The 18366-nt window shown below is 43.9% G+C and overlaps 1 long non-coding RNA gene and 1 pseudogene across 1 annotated transcript, besides 1 other annotated feature; both read left to right on the top strand.

Annotated features, from left to right (window-relative positions):
- Window positions 8123-8323: a silencer, noted in NCBI's record as "peak658 fragment used in MPRA reporter construct". NCBI's record gives its function as "represses an SCP1 promoter by STARR-seq MPRAs in K562 erythroleukemia cells {active_cell/tissue: K562}" and the evidence as "EXISTENCE:reporter gene assay evidence [ECO:0000049][PMID:32103011]".
- On the top strand, window positions 10865-13757 carry BMNCR (bone marrow associated non-coding RNA). Its single transcript, XR_001738390.3, has 3 exons — window positions 10865-11959; window positions 12638-12705; window positions 13113-13757. It is a non-coding gene; the product is annotated as a bone marrow associated non-coding RNA (long non-coding RNA).
- LARP7P1 (LARP7 pseudogene 1) lies at window positions 17909-18224 on the top strand (annotated as a pseudogene).

Raw genomic sequence — 18366 nt, 5'->3', positions numbered from 1 at the left:
CTAAACCATATCTCCCATGCCAGGGTGACTGCATGCAAAGGGGCTTCCAGACTCAGCCACATGCTGGTAAATCAGCCTTCACCCCAGAGCTCTTTTAGCTCATAGGATTGAACCCAGGTAACCAGTCCCAGCTCTGCTTTTATAAAGTTCACCCTAACTCTGAACTCCACTGTATTAGGATCAAGTGTGCACATTGGGGGACTCCCTTAATATGGCTGGACCCTGCCTGCCTCCCCAGCCTCATTTCATGCCACTGTCCTCCATGTCTCTTAGCACCAATGATGCTGGGCTTCTTCGTTTTTCTCACAAGCATTAAAATTTTTCTTGTTTTAGGTTCAAACATGCTTTTTCAAATTATTTTATTTTATTTTATCATACTTTAAGTTCAAGGGTACATGTGCACAATGTACAGGTTTGTTACATATGTATACATGTGCCATGCTGGTGTGCTGCACCCGTTAACTCATCATTTACATTAGGTATATCTCCTAATGCTATCCCTCCCCCCTCCCCCCACCCCACAACAGGCCCTGGTGTGTGATATTCCCCACCCTGTGTCCAAGTGTTCTCGTTGTTCAGTTCCCACCTGTGAGTGAGAACATGAGGTATTTGGTTTTCTGTCCTTGCGATAGTTTGCTCAGAATGATGGCTTCAAGCTTCATCCATGTCCCTGCAAGGGACATGAACTCATCCTTTTTTATGGCTGCATAGTATTCCATGGTGTATATGTGCCACATTTTCTTAATCCAGTCTATCATTGATGGACATTTGGGTTGGTTCCAAGTCTTTGCTATTGTGAATAGTGCCTCAATAAACATATGTGTGCATGTGTCTTTATAGCAGCATGATTTATAATCCTTTGGGTATATACCCAGTAATGGGATGGTTGGGTCAAATGGTATTTCTAGTTCTAGATCCTTGAGGAGTCACCACACTGTCTTTCACAATGGTTGAACTAGTTTATACTCCCACCAACAGTGTAAAACTGTTCCTATTTCTCCACATCCTCTCCAGCACCTGTTGTTTCCTGACTTTTTAATGATCACCATTCTAACTAGTGTGAGATGGTATCTCATTGTGGTTTTGATTTGCATTTCTCTGATGGCCAGTGATGATGAGCATTTTTTCATGTGTCTGTTGGCTGCATAAATGTCTTCTTCTGAGAAGTGTCTGTTCATATCCTTTGCCCACTTTTTGATGGGGTTGTTTGATTTTTTTCTTGTAAATTTGTTTAAGTTCTTTGTAGATTCTGGATATTAGCCCTTTGTCAAATAGGTAGATTGCAAAAATTTTCTCCCATTCTGTAGGTTGCCTGTTCACTCTGATGGTAGTTTCTTTTGCTGTGCAGAAGCTCTTTAGTTTAATTAGATCCCATTTGTCAATTTTGGCTTTTGTTGCCATTGCTTTTGGTGTTTTAGTCATGAAGTCCTTGCCCATGCCTATGTCCTGAATGGTACTGCCTAGGTTTTCTTCTAGGGTTTTTATGGGTTTAGGTCTGACATTTAAGTCTTTAATCCATCCTCAATTAATTTTTGTATAAGGTGTAAGGAGGGGATCCAGTTTCAGCTTTCTACATGTGGCTAGCCAGTTTTCCCAGCACCATTTATTAAATGGGGAATCCTTTCCCCATTGCTTGTTTTTGCCAGGTTTGTCAAAGATCAGATGGTTGTAGATGTGTGGTATTATTTCTGAGGGCTCTATTCTGTTCCATTGGTCTATATCTCTATTTTGGTACCAGTATCATGCTGTTTTGGTTACCGTAGCCTTGTAGTATAGTTTGAAGTCAGGTAGCATGATGCCTCCAGCTTTGTTCTTTTGGCTGAGGATTGTCTTGGCAATGCCGCCTCTTTTTTGGTTCCATATGAACTTTACAGTAGTTTTTTCTAATTCTGTGAAGAAAGTCATTGGTAGCTTGATGGGGATGGCATTGAATCTATAAATTACCTTGGGCAGTATAGTCATTTTCACAATATTGATTCTTCCTATCCATGAGCATGGAATGTTCTTCCATTTGTTTCTGTCCTCTTTTATTTCATTGAGCAGTGGTTTGTAGTTCTCCTTGAAGAGGTCCTTCACATCCCTTGTAAGTTGGATTCCTAGGTATTTTATTCTCTTTGTAGTAATTGTGAATGGGAATTCACTCATTCGGCTCTCTGTTGGTCTGTTATTGGTGTATAGGAATGCTTGTGATTTTTGCACATTGATTTTGTATCCTGAGACTTCGCTGAAGTTGCTTATCAGCTTGAGGAGATTTTGGGCTGAGACAATGGGATTCTCTAAATATACAATCATGTCATCTGCAAACAGGGACAATTTGACTTCTTCTTTTCCTAATTGAATACACGTTATTTCTTTCTCCTGCCTGATTGCCCTGGCCAGAACTTCCAACACTATGTTGAATAGGAATGGTGAGAGAGGGCATCCCTGTCTTGTGCCAGTTTTCAAAGGGAATGCTTCCAGTTTTTGCCCATTCAGTATGATATTGGCTGTGGGTTTGTCATAAATAGCTCTTATTATTTTGAGGTATGTCCCATCAATACCTATTTTATTGAGAGTTTGTAGCATGAAGGGCTGTTGAATTTTGTCAAAGGCCTTTTCTGCATCTATTGAGATAATCATGTGGTTTTTGTCTTTGGTTCTGTTTATATGATGGATTGCATTTATTGATTTGCATATGTTGAACCAGCCTTGCATCCCAGGGATGAAGCCAACTTGATCGTGGTGGATAAGCTTTTTGATGTGCTCCTGGATTTGGTTTACCAGTATTTTACTGAGGATTTTTGCATCGATGTTCATCAGGGATATTGGTATAAAATTCTCTTTTTCTGTTGTGTCTCCGCCAGGCTTTGGTATCAGGATGAAGCTGGCCTCATAAAATGAGTTAGGGAGGATTCCTTCTTTTTCTATTGATTGGAATAGCTTCAGAAGGAATGGTACCAGCTCCTCTTTGTACCTCTGGTAGAATTCGGCTGTGAATCGGTCTGGTCCTGGACTTTTTTTGGTCGATAGGCTATTAATTATTGCCTCAATTTCAGAGCCTGTTATTGGTCTATTCAGGGATTCAGCTTCTTCCTGGTTTAGTCTTGGGAGGGTGTGTGTGTCCAGGAATTCACCCATTTCTTCTAGATTTTCTAGTTTATTTGCGTAGAGGTGTTTATAGTATTCTCTGATGGTAGTTTATATTTCTGTGGGATCGGTGGTGATATCCCCTTTATCATTTTTTATTGTATCTGTTTGATTCCTCTCTCTTTTCTTCTTTATTAGTCTTGCTAGCAGTCTATCAATTTTGTTGATCTTTTCAAAAAACCAGCTCCTGGATTCATTGAATTTTTGAAGGGTTTTTTGTGTCTCTGTCTCCTTCAGTTCTGCTCTGATCTTAGTTATTTCTTGCCTTCTGCTAGCTTTTGAATGTGTTTGCTCTTGCTTCTCTAGTTCTTTTAATTGTGATGTTAGAGGGTAAATTTTAGATCTTTCCTGCTTTCTCTTGTGGGCATTTAGTGCTATAAATTTCTGCTAAGACCAGCTCGGTCGGGGAAACCCTAACCCAGCGATGCTAGAGGAATTAAAGACACACACACAGAAATATAGAGGTGTGAAGTGGGAAATCAGGGGTCTCACAGCCTTCAGAGCTGAGAGCCCCAAACAGAGATTTATCCACGTATTTATTAACAGCAAGCCAGTCATTAGCATTGTTTCTATAGATATTTGATTAACTAAAAGTATTCCTTATGGGAAATGAAGGGATGGGCCAAAATAAAGGGATGGGTCTGGCTAGTTATCTGCAGCAGGATCATGTCCTTAAGGCACAGATTGTTCATGCTATTGTTTGTGGTTTAAGAATGCCTTTAAGGGGTTTCCTGCCCTGGGTGGGCCAGGTGTTGCTTACCCTCATTCCGGTAAACCCACAACCTTCCAGCGTGGGCATCATGGCCTTCATGAACATGTCACAGTGCTGCAGAGATTTTGTTTATGGCTAGTTTTGGGGCCAGTTTATGGCCAAATTTTGGGGGGCCTGTTCCCAACAATTTCCCTCTACACATTGTTTTAAATGTGTCCCAGAGATTCTGGTATGATGTGTCTTTGTTCTTGTTGGTTTCAAAGAACATCTTTATTTCTGCCTTCGTTTTGTTATGTACCCAGTAGTCATTCAGGAGCCGGTTGTTCAGTTTCCATGTAGTTGAGCAGTTTTGAGTGAGTTTCTTAATCCTGAGTTCTAGTTTGATTGCACTGTGGTCTGAGAGACAGTTTATTATAATTTCTGTTCTTTTACATTTGCTGATGAGTACTTTACTTCCAACTATGTGGTCAGTTTTGGAATAAGTGCGATATGGTGCTGAGAAGAATGTATATTCTGTTGATTTGGGGTGGAGAGTTCTGTAGATGTCTATTAGGTCCACTTGGTGAAGAGCTGAGTTCAATTCCTGGATATCCTTGTTAACTTTCTGTCTCGTTGATCTGTCTAATGTTGACAGTGGGGTGTTAAAGTCTCCCATTATTATTGTGTGGGAGTCTAAGTCTCTTTGTAGGTCTCTAAGGACTTCCTTTATGAATCTGGGTGCTCCTGCATTGGGTACATATATATTTAGGATAGTTAGCTCTTCTTGTTGAATTGATCCCTTTATCATTATGCAATGGCCTTCTTTGTCTCTTTTGATCTTTGTTGGTTTAAAGTCTGTTTTATCAGAGACTAGGATTGCAACCCCTGCTTTTTTTTTGTTTTCCATTTCCTTGGTAGATATTCCTCCATCCCTTTATTTTGAGCCTATGTGTGTCTCTGCACGTGAGATGGGTCTCCTGAATACAGCAGACTGTTGGGTCTTGACTCTTTATCCAATTTCCCAGTCTGTGTCTTTTAATTGGAGCATTTAGCCCAGTTACATTTAAGGTTAATATTGTTATGTGTGAATTTGATCCTGTCATTATGATGTTAGCTGGTTATTTTGCTGGTTAGTTGATGCAGTTTCTTCCTAGCATTGATGGTCTTTACAATTTGGCATGTTTTTGCAGTGGCTGCTACCAGTTGTTCCTTTCCATATTTAGTGCTTCTTTCAGGAGCTCTTGTAAGGAGGCCTAGTGGTGACAAAATCTCTCAGCATTTGTTTGTCTGTAAAGGACTTTATTTCTCCTTCACTTATGAAGCTTAGTTTGGCTGGATATGAAATTCTGGGTTGAAAATTATTTTCTTTAAGAATGTTGAATATTGGCCCCCACTCTCTTCTGGCTTGTAGAGTTTCTGCTGAGAGATCTGCTGTTTGATGGGCTTCCCTTTGTGGGTAACCTGATCTGTCTCTCTGGCTGCCTTTCCTTCATTTCAACTTTGGTGAATCTGACAATTACGTGTCTCGGAGTTGCTCTTCTTGAGGAGTATCTTTGTAATGTTCTGTGTATTTCCTGAATTTGAATGTTGGCCTGCCTTGCTAGGTTAGTGAAGTTTTCCTGGATAATATCCTGAAGAATGTTTTCCAACTTGGTTCCATTCTCCCCGTCACTTTAAGGTACACCAATCAGACGTAGATTTGGTCTTTTCACATAGTCCCATATTTCTTGGAGGCTTTGTTAGTTTCTTTTTACTCTTTTTTCTCTAAACTTCTCTTCTTACTTCATTTCATTCATTTGATCTTCAATCACTGATACCCTTTCTTACACTTGATCAAACTGGCTACTGAAGCTTGTGCATGCATCACATAGTTCTCATGCCATGGTTTTCAGCTCCATCAAGTCATTTAAGGTCTTCTCTACACTGTTTATTCTAGTTAGCCATTTGTCTAATCTTTTTTCAAGGTTTTTAGCTTCTTTGCGATGGGTTCGAACATCCTCCCTTAGCTCGGAAAAGTTTGTTATTACTGATCGTCTGAAGCCTTCTCTCAACTCGTCAAAGACATTCTCCGTCCAGCTTTGTTCCATTGCTGGAAAGGAGCTGCGTTCCTTTGGAGGAGAAGAGGTGCTCAGATTTTAGAATTTTCAGCTTTTCTGCTCTAGTTTCTCCCCATCTTTGTGGTTTTATCTACCTTTGGTCTTTGATGATGGTGATGTACAGATGGGGTTTTGGTGTGGTTGTCCTTTCTGTTTGTTAGTTTTCCTTCTAACAGTCAGGACTCTCAGCTGCAGGTCTGTTGGAGTTTGCTGGAGGTCCACTCCAGACCCTGTTTGCCTGGGTATCACCAGTGGAAGCTGCAGAAAGCAAATATTGCAGAATAGCAAATGTTGCTGCCTGATCCTTCCTCTGGAAGCTTCATCTCAGAGGGTCACCCGGCTGTATGAGGTGTCAGTCAGCCCCTACTGGGATGTGTCTCCCAGTTAGGCTACTTGGGGGTCAGAGAGCCACTTGAGGAGGCAGTCTGTCCATTCTCAGATCTCAAACTCCATGTTGGGAGAACAACTACTCTCTTCAAAGCTTTCAGACAGGGACATTTAAGTCTACAGAAGTTTCTACTGCCTTTTGTTCAGCTATGCCCTGCCCACAGAGGTGGAGTCTACAGAGGAAGGCAGGCCTGCTTGAGCTGTGGTGGGCTCCACCCAGTTCGAGCTTCCCAGCCACTTTGTTTACCTACTCAAGCCTCAGCAATGGCAGATGCCCCTCCCCCAGCCTCGCTGCTGCCTTGCAGTTCGATCTCAGACTGCTGTGCTAGCAGTGAGCAAGGCTCCGTGGGCGTGGGACCCTCCGAGCCAGGCGTGGGATATAATCTCCTGGTGTGCCATTTGCTAAGACCATTGGAAAAGCGCAGTATTAGGGTGGGAGTGTCCCAGTTTTCCAGGTACCGTCTGTCACAGCTTCTCTTGGCTAGGAAAGGGAACTCCCTGACCCGTTGTGCTTCCTGGGTGAGGCAATGTCCCGCCTTGCTCTGTGGGCTGCACCCACTGTCTGACAAGCCCCAGTGAGATGAACCCGGTACCTCAGTTGGAAATGCAGAAATCACCCACCTTCTGCGTCACTTATGCTGGGAGCTGCAGACTGGAGCTGTTCCTATTCGGCCATCTTGGAACCTCCCCCAAAACATGCTTTTTTAATCTGCCTAAACATATTCCCACCCTTTCACCTAGCTAACTCTTATTCTTCTTTTAGGCCAGGGGTCCCCAACCCCCAGGCTGTGGACTGGTACAAGTCCATGGCCTGTCAGGAACCAGGCCAAACAGTGGGAGGTGCAGGAGGTGAGTGGCTGGCAAGCATTAACACCTGAGCTCCTCCTCCTTTCAGATCAGCAGTGCCATTAGACTCTCATAGGAGCACAAACCCTCTTGTGAACCGTGCATGCGAGGGATCTAGGTTGCACACTCCTTATGAGAATCTAACTGGCTCCTGATGATCTGAGGTGGAACAGTTTCATCCCAAAACTATTCCCCTCTGAACCCCACTGTCCATGGAAAAATTATCTTCCATGAAACCAGTCCCTGGTACCAAAAACATTAGGGAACCGATGTTTTAGGCTTCAGGTTAAGTGTCACCTCATTAGACAGGTTTACCTGGCCCTGAGGGTCCCCTTCCACAACACTCACCTATTTATAAAGCCTGCAGTTTTCACCACCAAGTGAAGCCTGTCCATCTTGTTCACTGCTTAGCAAAGTAATAAACAATTGCAACTGCATAAATGGATGGTCAGGTTTTGTACCCTCTCCTTTAAGTGATGAACTTCTACTCATCCTGCACATCCTCCTCACACTCCCAGCCCCAAGCTGGTTCAACTGCTCTTCTCTGTGTTCCAATAGCACATTTTACCTTCCCTATCATAGACTTCATCTTATTACATCATGATTCCATGTTTACTTATCTGCCACTCCATCTAGGATTTGAGCTCCTTGAGTTCCGTGGTCTTGTTTTATCATCTTTGTATCTCCCAAGAAGAATGCTTGGCATAGGGCAGGCTCTCAATGATGTTGACTTTATAAATCTGTTGTAAAAAGAGCCCCGGGAACCCTGAAAGTAGAGAGTAGGAAGTTGAGGGAGGGAGGCAATTTTAGATTTAGCTAACTGCCCTGAACATGGCATAGATGAATTCTTCCTGTCTAACCTATTTGGGGAAGTGGATCGAGAGTTCTGTGTCCAAGTGTATATTTGCATATTTACATTTAGCTAGAAAAATAAAAACTGCCCTTAGTACAGGAAGATGGGGAAGGCAGATAGCCTCTGCTCTAGGAGCTTAATCAGCAAGTCACCAGGGCTATTTTCAGAGCTTCCAGTGAGTTTTTGGCTATGCTAAGGGAGTTCACGAGCCACGTTTGGCAGCAGAGATTGGAGAAAGTTGTTCCACGTAAGAAATGAGAGGAATTCGGATTTTGCCCCTAAGAAGAAGACAACAATGAAGAGGGGGAAGGGGATTAGCTGAATAACATGCAAAGAGTCTGCACCCTGAGTTATGAAAATGATCAATGGATTTTTAAAAAGTCATACCAGAAATGTCTGTTGTTTAGTATTATTTAGTGTTTAGTGTTATTGCTATGATGTAAAGCTCTTCATTTCTTCAAAGCTTCCTAAGTTTTCCACATCACAGAAGCCTTGCAAGTATTTCTGCCATGTTCTCCACCTGGATGGTGGTGGTGTGGAACAGGGACAGTCACCAGGAATGGCCAGAGGACCCTGGATCGAACAATTCATCAGAAGCAGGAGCACCCTCCAGAAGTTTGTGGAAAACTTGAGATGGACATTAGACTTTGCAAACTCCAAAGGGTGATGCTGGTTCAAGGCACATTTGCCCTGACCTGAAGGGTCAATGTGACCACTTCTAGTCTTTATGAGCAGGGCTGTGTGTGTTTCAGTGGCAGTGTGTCTCTAAGAAGTGTGGGCTTTCATTGTCTGTATAATTAAACCCTGTGCTTGCAATTATCCTTGAAGGTATATGTGTTTATGTGCTGCTTTTGGAATGATATATTGATATGACTGCATGTTGAGTCCCTGTGGGAGAGGCTGCTAAATGGTCATGTGACCATACTTTTCTTCCTCACCTAGGAACACCAAGCCCCTTCGCACTCCATGAGAAGTAGAGGCCTTCCCGGGATCAAAACAGCACTCCCTCTCTGAGCCTCCCCAAGTAACATACACTACCTGCCCCATTTTCTCCTTCTCCTGCCCCTGCCTGTTTCCTTGTCTTCTTCCTCCAGCCCCAAGAATAGCTGAGGCTCTTAACTAAGAACAAGAAAACAAAAAATCGGGTCACCAGATGTGCTTCATTCCACCTCTCCCTCTCTAGCTATCCTCCCCACAAGCCAACGCATTCTGAGCATATATACAGCAAGCACCTGGCATCCCCCCAAACCCAGCTGTGCCTCTGCCTGGCAACAGACCCAACTCAGGTGGAAATTTGGGGTACCCCACAAGCATACCATATGGTTCATCCTGTCTCTAGCACTATGGTGCAGCTCTTTTGTTCTGCCTAGACAGCCTAAGCAGACCCCAGAATGATTTTTCCCATCCTGAATGAAAGGTGATATGTTGATGTCATCTGTACTGCCGGTCGCCTTCTCCCTGTGTAGACACTGCCTGTCTCAGTGTAGGAGGACAATGAGGTCTCCAGGAACAAGGTCCCCGTCCAGAGGCAGGAAGACAGAGAGACCAGCAGTCCTGCCTCAGCTCATGGGCAGGGTTCACTTGAGCTGGTCCCCACCTGGAGCCCAAAATGAGTGTCTTGTGCTTTGGAGTGAACAGACATCTGGGATTCTCATTGGGGACTGTTTACTGGTTGATTTGCATGGCACATTAACAGCCCACAGCAGCCCACTTTCTGCCAGGGACTTTCAGGAACCATTTCTCCAAGCCAGCGTGGCCCTGCGCGGGCATGAGCCCTCCCCATCCCTTCTTCCCTCCCCACATCAGCCACGTGGATGTGACTCACACAGGCTCTCTGAGCCCCTGCCAGCAGCAGCCAGAGGACTGCCTGGATAAAGTTGGGATGGGCTACTTCAGGAGCAGGGAACAGTCCAGAGTCCCTGTTAGAATTCCGTGGGCCTCCGTGCCCTCCTCCTACTACTACTCCCAGTGTCGCCTGCAGCCCAAACCTCATGCAGCAGCGTCTCCCTGATGCTTGGGCGAAAGTTCATCCTTTCCTATCTGCTTCTCTCCTTTCTCCCGTAGCACATACCACAATCAGGGACAACTATGTGAGTTCTCTTGGTTTTTCCCTGTGATATTATATAAATAACCCACACTTAAAGCAGAATATTCATATATATTATTTTGTTTTATCCTCATGATCACTCTATGAGATAATTGTTATATTTCCCATTTCAAAGAAGAAGAAATTGAAGATTGAAAGATTAAGTGAGGCAAAGCATAGAGGATGTTTAGGTAGTTAAACTACTCCGCATGATCCTATAAAGGTGGATACAATTCATTATACATTTGTCCAAACTCATAGAATGTACAACACCAAGAGTGAACCTTAATGTGAACTCTGGACTTTGGGTGATAATGATGTTAAAATGTAGGTTCATCGGGTTTAGCAAATGACTGTTCCTGTGGGGGATGTTGATAGTTGGGGAGGCTGTGTGTGTGAGGGGCAGGGGATACATGGGGAACTCTGTACTTTCTACTCAATTTTGATGTAAACATAAAACTGCTCTAAAAAAAAAAAAGTCTATTTAAAAAATGCCACTCTAGGCAATACAGAGAGACCCTGTCTCTTAAAAAAAAAAAAAAAAAAAATTAGCCGGGCATGGTCATGCACTTCCATGGTCCCAGCTACTTGGGAGGCTGAGGTGGGAGGATTGCTTGAGCCCAGGAGGTTGAGGCTGCAGTGAACTATGATCACACCACTGCACTCCAGCCTGAGCAACAGAGTGAGACCCTGTCTCAAAAAATAATAATAGTAATAATAAGAAATACATAAATAAATACTTATTTTTAAAAATTTTAAGTTTTAAGTTTTTTAAAAAGTTTTCCTTGATTCCCAGAGTTTCCCTTGTTCTAAATGTACTGCATGAGCTTCTGAATGTACTTGGAGATTTACCAGTACCTCTCCTTGCCAGTTGTAGCTCCTCACCCCAGCCTGTCATCTGTCTGCCCCACCCTCCTCAACCTCTGGACTATAAGAACTCTGAGCCTTGACTTAGTTGTCTCTGTATTCTTAGCTTGCGGCAGTGTCTGACACATAGTAGATGCTGAATAAATGTCTGCTGGGAGAATGCATGAATGAATGAATGCATGGAGGAAGAGGAAGGAGAGGAAGAGAGAGAAGAAGATAGTGGGAAGGAAGAGAGGAAGAGGAAATAAAAAACAGGAAAAGGAGATGGAAGAAGAAGGAGAGTGCAGTATAGGGTCGGAAAGAAAAAAGGCATCCCTTGATTTGATCTTATCCCCTTTGTCTTCCTGGGGACTGGAAGGCCCTTCTCAGTTCCTTTCTTTTCCCTCTCCTCCCAACAGGATAAGGACTTTGGCCACAGCCCTGCCTATCCCCCAGGTATCCCCATAAAGTCTTTAACCCTTAGATATAGAACTGCTCTGTCCCTTTTCTACAAAACAAATGTGTTATTTGGGCAGAAGAGGAAAGGAGAAAATTTGAAGTGGAAAAATCTTTGGTTTGGAAATTCAGCTGACTGCCCTCATTTGGAATAAAATGTCCTTCAGTCCCTGGCTGTGTGGCAGGCAGGCCCGGCCAACAGCAACACCGGATGCCGGGAGACTGGGAGGAGGCCTGGGGATTTTCAGAGGAGCCGCCAGAGTGGTATGAACTTGGAATCCAGGAAGAGAGTGATGGGGCTCATCTCCAAGGGCTGAATCCCTATCCTCTTCCTCATCTCTGTCCAGACAGTGGTCAGTTGTCCCGATGTGTCAGGCAGAGTGCTGTCCTGGGGGCACAGACAGGACCAGGAGAAGCAAGTCCTGAGGGAGAACAGGGGCTGGGTCTGTCTCATGTCCTGAGCACCAACCTCAGCATCTGACACATGGAAGGTACCCAAGAAACATCAGCTGGGAAAAAAAAAGTAACCCTTGTCCCGAGGGGTTGACAGGAGACCCAGACTTTGCACTCAGGTTGGTCCCAGCCTAATAGTGGAGACAGAACAGATATAAAGAATGCAGCTCAAAATCGGAATACCAAGTACAAATACAAATAATATAAACCAAGGGCTGACCTATCAGAGTAGCACAGCAGACTGGCTTGGGGCCAGTGAGGTGAATTGAGAGAACCTCCCCAAACAGACCATCCTAAGTGGGCCTCTGAAGGAGCAGATGGGAATTATTTGGCTGAAGCCAGTAGGATGAGTATCAAAGTGGGGAGTTCAGACAACATAAGAACAAGAAGAGCAGGAGGCTGAGCGGGGATGGGGCAGGTCTCCAGGGCTGGAGCAAAGCACAGCTGACCCACCCTGACTGGTGTCTGCAGATGTTGTAGAAGCAGCGCTTAAGTTTACACTGGCTTGCTGGTAACCTGGGTAGCCGGGGGGAAATATCACAGTATAGTTCACAGGTTGTGTCATAATCTCCCAGATTCATCATTTTCAGCCTTGGTTGTGCTTATGGGGCTAAGGGGTGGAGGCCTAGATTTGTAACAACCCAGAGACCAAACCCATTTCCACAAGAAAGTGCACAGAGAAGACAAAGGGAAAAACGTGGTAACAGGGAAGATGTCAGAGAGATGGGAGGCTGTGCAGAGAGGGCAGCACAGGCTGCCAGTTGGCCTCTCTTGTTTTGTTTTGTTTTGCTTTGCAGGAGAGAGGGAGGTTGGAAGCGCCACTGAGAGGAGTCAGAGGAAAGTGTAAGGAGACTTGTAAAAAAAGGTATGCAGGGTGCTGTGTGCTGCCTGATCCACTGTATGTGAGTTCTGGGTTTCAGCAAAGGCCATACAGACATTAAGGCTTCTGGAGCTGGGCTAATGCTTCCTTGGACTGTGATCCCGCTGAAATCAACTTTGGAGGAAAGGAAATGAAAAGGCTCCAATTTGTATCTTCCTGGGAGTAAATGTTTCTTATCCAATATCAATTCTCTCCTTCCTTACTTAATAAAACCACAATTTGTTACCCAGACAAAAGATGACCTTTCCTTTGCTCCCTTGCAGCTAGGAGTAGCTTCCAGTAGCAGGAGCCCCTGGAAGGTTTAGGGGAAAGTCTGGATTTCCTGATATGTACCCAACCCTTGCTTTTTGTCATTTTCTTTTGTCTCCGTCCTGCCTGGAACATGTGATCAGGAGGTGGTCATGAGGATGAAAGTCATATGTGAAGGATGATGGAACAGAGGGACTAAAGGAGCCTGCCCTGGACACCCTGATTTCCTGCTATGGGGAGTGAAAAAGAAGCCATAGTCCCATGGATTCTGTTACCAGCCACTGAGTGCAATCCTACCTGATCCCATGGTCCTCACCAAGGCTGTGTCTGCTTAGGAAATGGAGAATGGTCCCCAAACCACAGCAGCAAAAATGAGTGGAAGGGTTGAGCATTATTTCCAGCCTTGGTTGCTCTGGTGATTGGTGCCTGGGAGGGGCAGGACCTCCATCCAACAGACTGTACCAGCAGAGTCGTAAGAGGTAGGACTTTGGAGATTCAGCCGTATGTTCTATGGGTGGACTGAAGGCTGAAGGAGGAAGAGGTAGAAGTGCATTGCTACCGACCTACTCCATCCCACGTGCAGACTCCCTCGACCCCCAACCCCAGGCTGTCACCTGCTCCTATATTCATTTTCTCTGAGGTTGGAGGAAAGAGAAAGGAGACAGCAATGGCCAGACTTCCCTGGGGTTCCCAAACTGGTTAGTGTGCTCTGCTCAAGTGCTGGCTCCCCGCCCCTCTCTATGCACACACTCAGCCCATGTTCACTGATTCCCATCCTACCCTCCAGTCATTTGCCTAACTGACTTTTTTTTTTCCAGGAAACCTCAGAGATGCATTGGACTTGGTCAGCAGACTTGAGTTCTATGCCCATGCCAGTCACTGACTGGCCATGACCTGAGTTGGACAAATCATGCCCACTCTAGACTTAAGTTGTTCCTTATATGGAAAAGGAAAGGAGTGCTTTGTCAGTGGTTCCCAGATACCAATTTATAAAGATTTCACTAGTCTGTGGCAAAATAATATAACAATGGCTATGAATTACTGGGTATTTCCTTTGTGTGAAGTGGTTTTCATATATTAACTCATTTAATCTCATAACCACCTGGAAAAGTATGTATTCTTATTAACACCTTCACATGATAGATGATAAAACCAAGGCTCAGAGAGGTTAAGTAACTTACCTGAAGGTCTTCATATGGTAAGTGGTAGAGCCTGGATTTGAACTCAGGTATCCTGGTCCCAGAGTCCACGTACTAAATCACTACATTACAGCTACCCATGTGATAAGGAAAAAGTAAGGAGGAGGATGATGATGTGCATGCATATTGATACACACAGACATATAATACAGTATATTTGTGTACTGTTAGTGTAAGTTTAATACTGACTTTCTGGGGAAGGACAGGGATATATATCCTTTATGTTAAGAGTGAGAGAATAAGTCTTCCATATTTTTTACATTAAAAGGTACTTTTCTGAAATGATGACAGAAGGTGAGTATTTTATTTGCTCAACTGGCAAAATAAAACTTATCGACAACCAGTTACTTTTTACAGTATTTTACTTCCAACTTGTAATAGACCATGAAATTAAGTCTGGGAGCCCTGAGGCTACAGGGTCTTCGAAGTCCTTTCTGGCTTAAATAATGTAAGGCCTTCAACCTCCAGGTGAGGTGACTTAAGTCACACATTCTTGGAGACGTCCTCCCAGATATCAGGCACACCATCTGGGCCCCCTGGTCAGCCTAGCAGACGAAGAGCCATCACCCTGAGGGAACCTGTTTTGGTAACATGCCTGTTTAACACTGCAAGTATTTTGACCCATAAAGAAACTTTCCTGTCCCGCCATGGCCCCAGCTTTAGCTACACCCCGTCTGTACTTGTCTACCTCTTGGGATAAGTACCATATAGAGAGAGAATCTTAAATTACTCATTAGTTGGTAGAGATATTTTACTTGAAAGCAGATCCCAAACATAACCTCCTCCTGCCCAATCCTAAATCTCAGGCACCAAAGAAGACCAAGCTCTATCCTGAGTGCTACAAATGAGAAAACCAAAGGCAAAATTATGAACTATCTTGAGGATGTCTGTTCAAAGCAATTGTCCTCTACCTTATATGGATTCTGTCGGATCCTGGAGCAGATTAGAAACAGAACAGGTAGCACTGGGGGCAGTCCATTAGTGCTCTCTTTAAAACCAAGGTGGCAAACTCTTGTTTTGAAACTAACATAGAACAAGCAATTTGAGAGAAGGGAAATTGGTGTAGCCCAATGTTGTTATTTTTTTCTTATTAACAGTCTCAAAGTCCCTAGTGAAGGAGGGGAACATCCAAACAGTTAGCAGCCAGGGACATTCTTAGGAAGGACAGCGGAAGCCACAGCACTGCTTCTGCTGTGGGGTCTACATGCCTAAAACTGAGCAAAGAATTCGACTTGGTGGGCTGGACTCTGCCTCAAAAGTGAATGAAAACAAAACAAGACTTCAAGTTAGCATTTGTGGAAAGGGGAAAAAAACCATTGTCTGCCTTTCTGTCTCACGAACACAGAAACAAAACACTAATGAAGGCTCCCAATCTGGCAGAAATCTAAGGAATTAGAGGAAAAGGAACAAAAATAAACAAAAGGACACCAGACTTCAAGTTTCTCAAGCCAGATGTGACCCTGGAAACTGGTGTGATGAGGAAGAAAAACAGCTGTTGACTCAGTCATGTGATGATTCAATGATACAATTATTTCATCATCAAAAGAGGCTTTGATAACTTCGCCATTAGCAGTAAGAGTAAAAATAGAAAAAGAGGAAGGAGGAGCTCGATTTCAGCACTAATCTGATTCATTCGCTTTAAAAGACCTAGGCTTGAGGCCTGAACTGGTTATGGAATCTAGCTATTAAAAATGGTTCTATCTGGTGACAGAATTTTAAGAAATGCTGAAGTTGGCAAAGTGGATTGCTCTATTTAGCAAAATATTTTCAGCTATGGTGGTCCATTAAAACACCAAGAAAAAGAACAAAAGAACAAAAGAAACAAAAATCTACTGGATAGAGTTTGTATGAAATCCACAATCCTGCAGTTTGCAGGAGCGGGAATACACTTGCAAATCAATGTTGGAAATTTGCATTTTTCTGAGCTTTTAGTGGAATGGAGTGTTGGGGAGGGACTTTCTGCTTTTTATGGGTGGATCCAGTGAAATGATTGCTGGTCCTGATTAGAGGCCCATGGTTTCAATAATCTAGCATTCTCCCAACTGTGTCTTTAGCCTCTCCTTCTTTCTCTTCGGCCTACAAACAGGCTACAGAAAGTGCTGCCTGGGCTACACGCTTAGATGATCCCATCCTAAATACAACTTTCCATTGACTGGGGTCCCTTTCTAGCTATGGCTCTAGCAATCAGCTCTTCTTCCCAGACAAGTTGTTTGGGAGAGAAGTCCACACGCTAACCTGTTAGAACCGCCACATAAAATACATGATGCCCACTTGAACTTTAATTTCAGATAAATGACAAATAATTATTTCAGTTTATGTATGTCCCATGCAATATTTGGGACATACTTATTATACTAAAAATTTATTCATTGTTTATCTGAAATTCAAATGTCAGATAAATTGAAATTTAAGTGAACATCCTGTATTTTTATTTGCTAAATCTGACAATCTGACTCCTAGTATCCCTTCTTCACTTTCTATTTGTTGCTCAGCCCATGGAAACCTGGTTTTTGCCTCCACCTTTCATTGATACTGCTCTCCCCAGGCTCCCCAAGGACCTCTTACTGATCAAATTCACGAGGCACGTTTCCACCCTCCATGGCAGGGGCCTCTCTGGAGGACTCTGCAGGCACCGCTGGCGTCTCCGCTGTCCTGGTGAAGCTGTCTTCCCTTTTGGCTTCCATGATGCATTACACTGCTTGTTTTCTCCACCTTTCTCTGACTGCTCCTTCCCTGTTTCCTTCACGAGCTGCGCTTGTTAAGTCACCTCTTACATGTTCAATGCTACCCAGGGCACTGCCCTTTGGCCTTCCGCACTCTCTATACACAGAGCTGGATTTGCTGCTATATTTATCTCCCCACTCAGCCCCACTGGCCTCAGCTGCCCTGAGCAGCTCTGGCCTCCTCATCCATCATGCTGGGCACCAGAGGATGTCTTGCAGAGAAACCTTTCTGCCCTGGGCCTCCAAGGAGGGCTCAGCTATCAGAGAAGAGGGTCATTTTTAAAAGGGTCAGAGCACAGGACCCTCCAAGATTGATGGGCTATGAATTATGGATGTCGCAACTGTCAGTCCCAGTGCTCCAGAGCCAGAGAGGGTGTCCCTGCCTTCCGTCCCTGAGTTGGCCTCTTCTCTCCAGCATCCCCGTAGCATGTGCTCACTAAATGTGTTCCTGTATTGCTTTTTTACGTTTGTTGTCTTTTTGATGATCTTTATTTCTATGCACACACATACACGCTCAAGCACATCCCATCTGGCTGGGAGCTCTCTGAACCCTCCTCCATCACACTGTGCCCTGCTAGAGGGCAAGGACTGAAATGCCCCAGGGGAAGTGTTTGATACACAGGTGTGACTATAACAAAACAAAACACAACAAACACACACACACAACGATTTTTACCCTTTTTTTTTTTTTGAGACCAAGTCTTGCTCTCTCACCCAGGCTGGAGTGCAGTGGTGTGATCTCAGCTCACCGCAACCTCTGCCTCCCAGGTTCAAGTGATTCTCCTGCCTCAGCCTCCTGAGTAGCTGGGACTACAGGTGTGCGCCACCTCGCCCAGCTAACTTTTGTATTTTAGTAGAGATGGGGTTTCACCATGTTTCCCAGGCTGGTCTCAAACTTCTGACCTCAAGTGATCACCCACCTCGGCCTCCCAAAGTGCTGGGATTACAGGTGTGAGCCACCATGCCTGGTTGATTTTTACCCATTTTTAAAGTTGTAAGTGCTTTTGTATGCAATACTTTGGAGCAATCTCAGGAGTTGTTTATGTTGATTTGCTAGAAAGAGATACAGAATGCCAGGCTAGATTCAAAACTCCTGAGGATCTCAAGCAATAATAAGTGCACTTACAGAAATTAAAAAGAAATACCGCTGGAAACTCAAGGGCTTTTCTGGTGATCACAAAGATACTGGCAGATTTTTGTTGATAGGTAGGCCAAACTTAATCAGCTAGGGAAAAGAAAGAGGTACTAAAAGTTAATCACCAAAGCCAAAAAGATTAAACTTGTAAAGACTCAACAAGCAAGTAAACACATTAAATTTTCTGAATATGACTGAAAACAAATTATAGTTAACCTCTTAATACTTCACTGGGTATTTGAGCTGTTCTTAGGGATCCACTTTTATTTTGGTAGTACTGTATAATAAATGTTTCCCTAAAACCTACAGTTAATTTAAAAAATATCTTTGTTCCTCAACT

The sequence above is a fragment of the Homo sapiens genome, chromosome 1 (assembly GCF_000001405.40).
Source record: "Homo sapiens chromosome 1, GRCh38.p14 Primary Assembly".
NCBI lineage: Eukaryota > Metazoa > Chordata > Mammalia > Primates > Hominidae > Homo > Homo sapiens.
The sequence above is the reverse complement of the archived record's forward strand: the minus strand, read 5'-3'. Positions and strand labels throughout refer to the sequence as shown.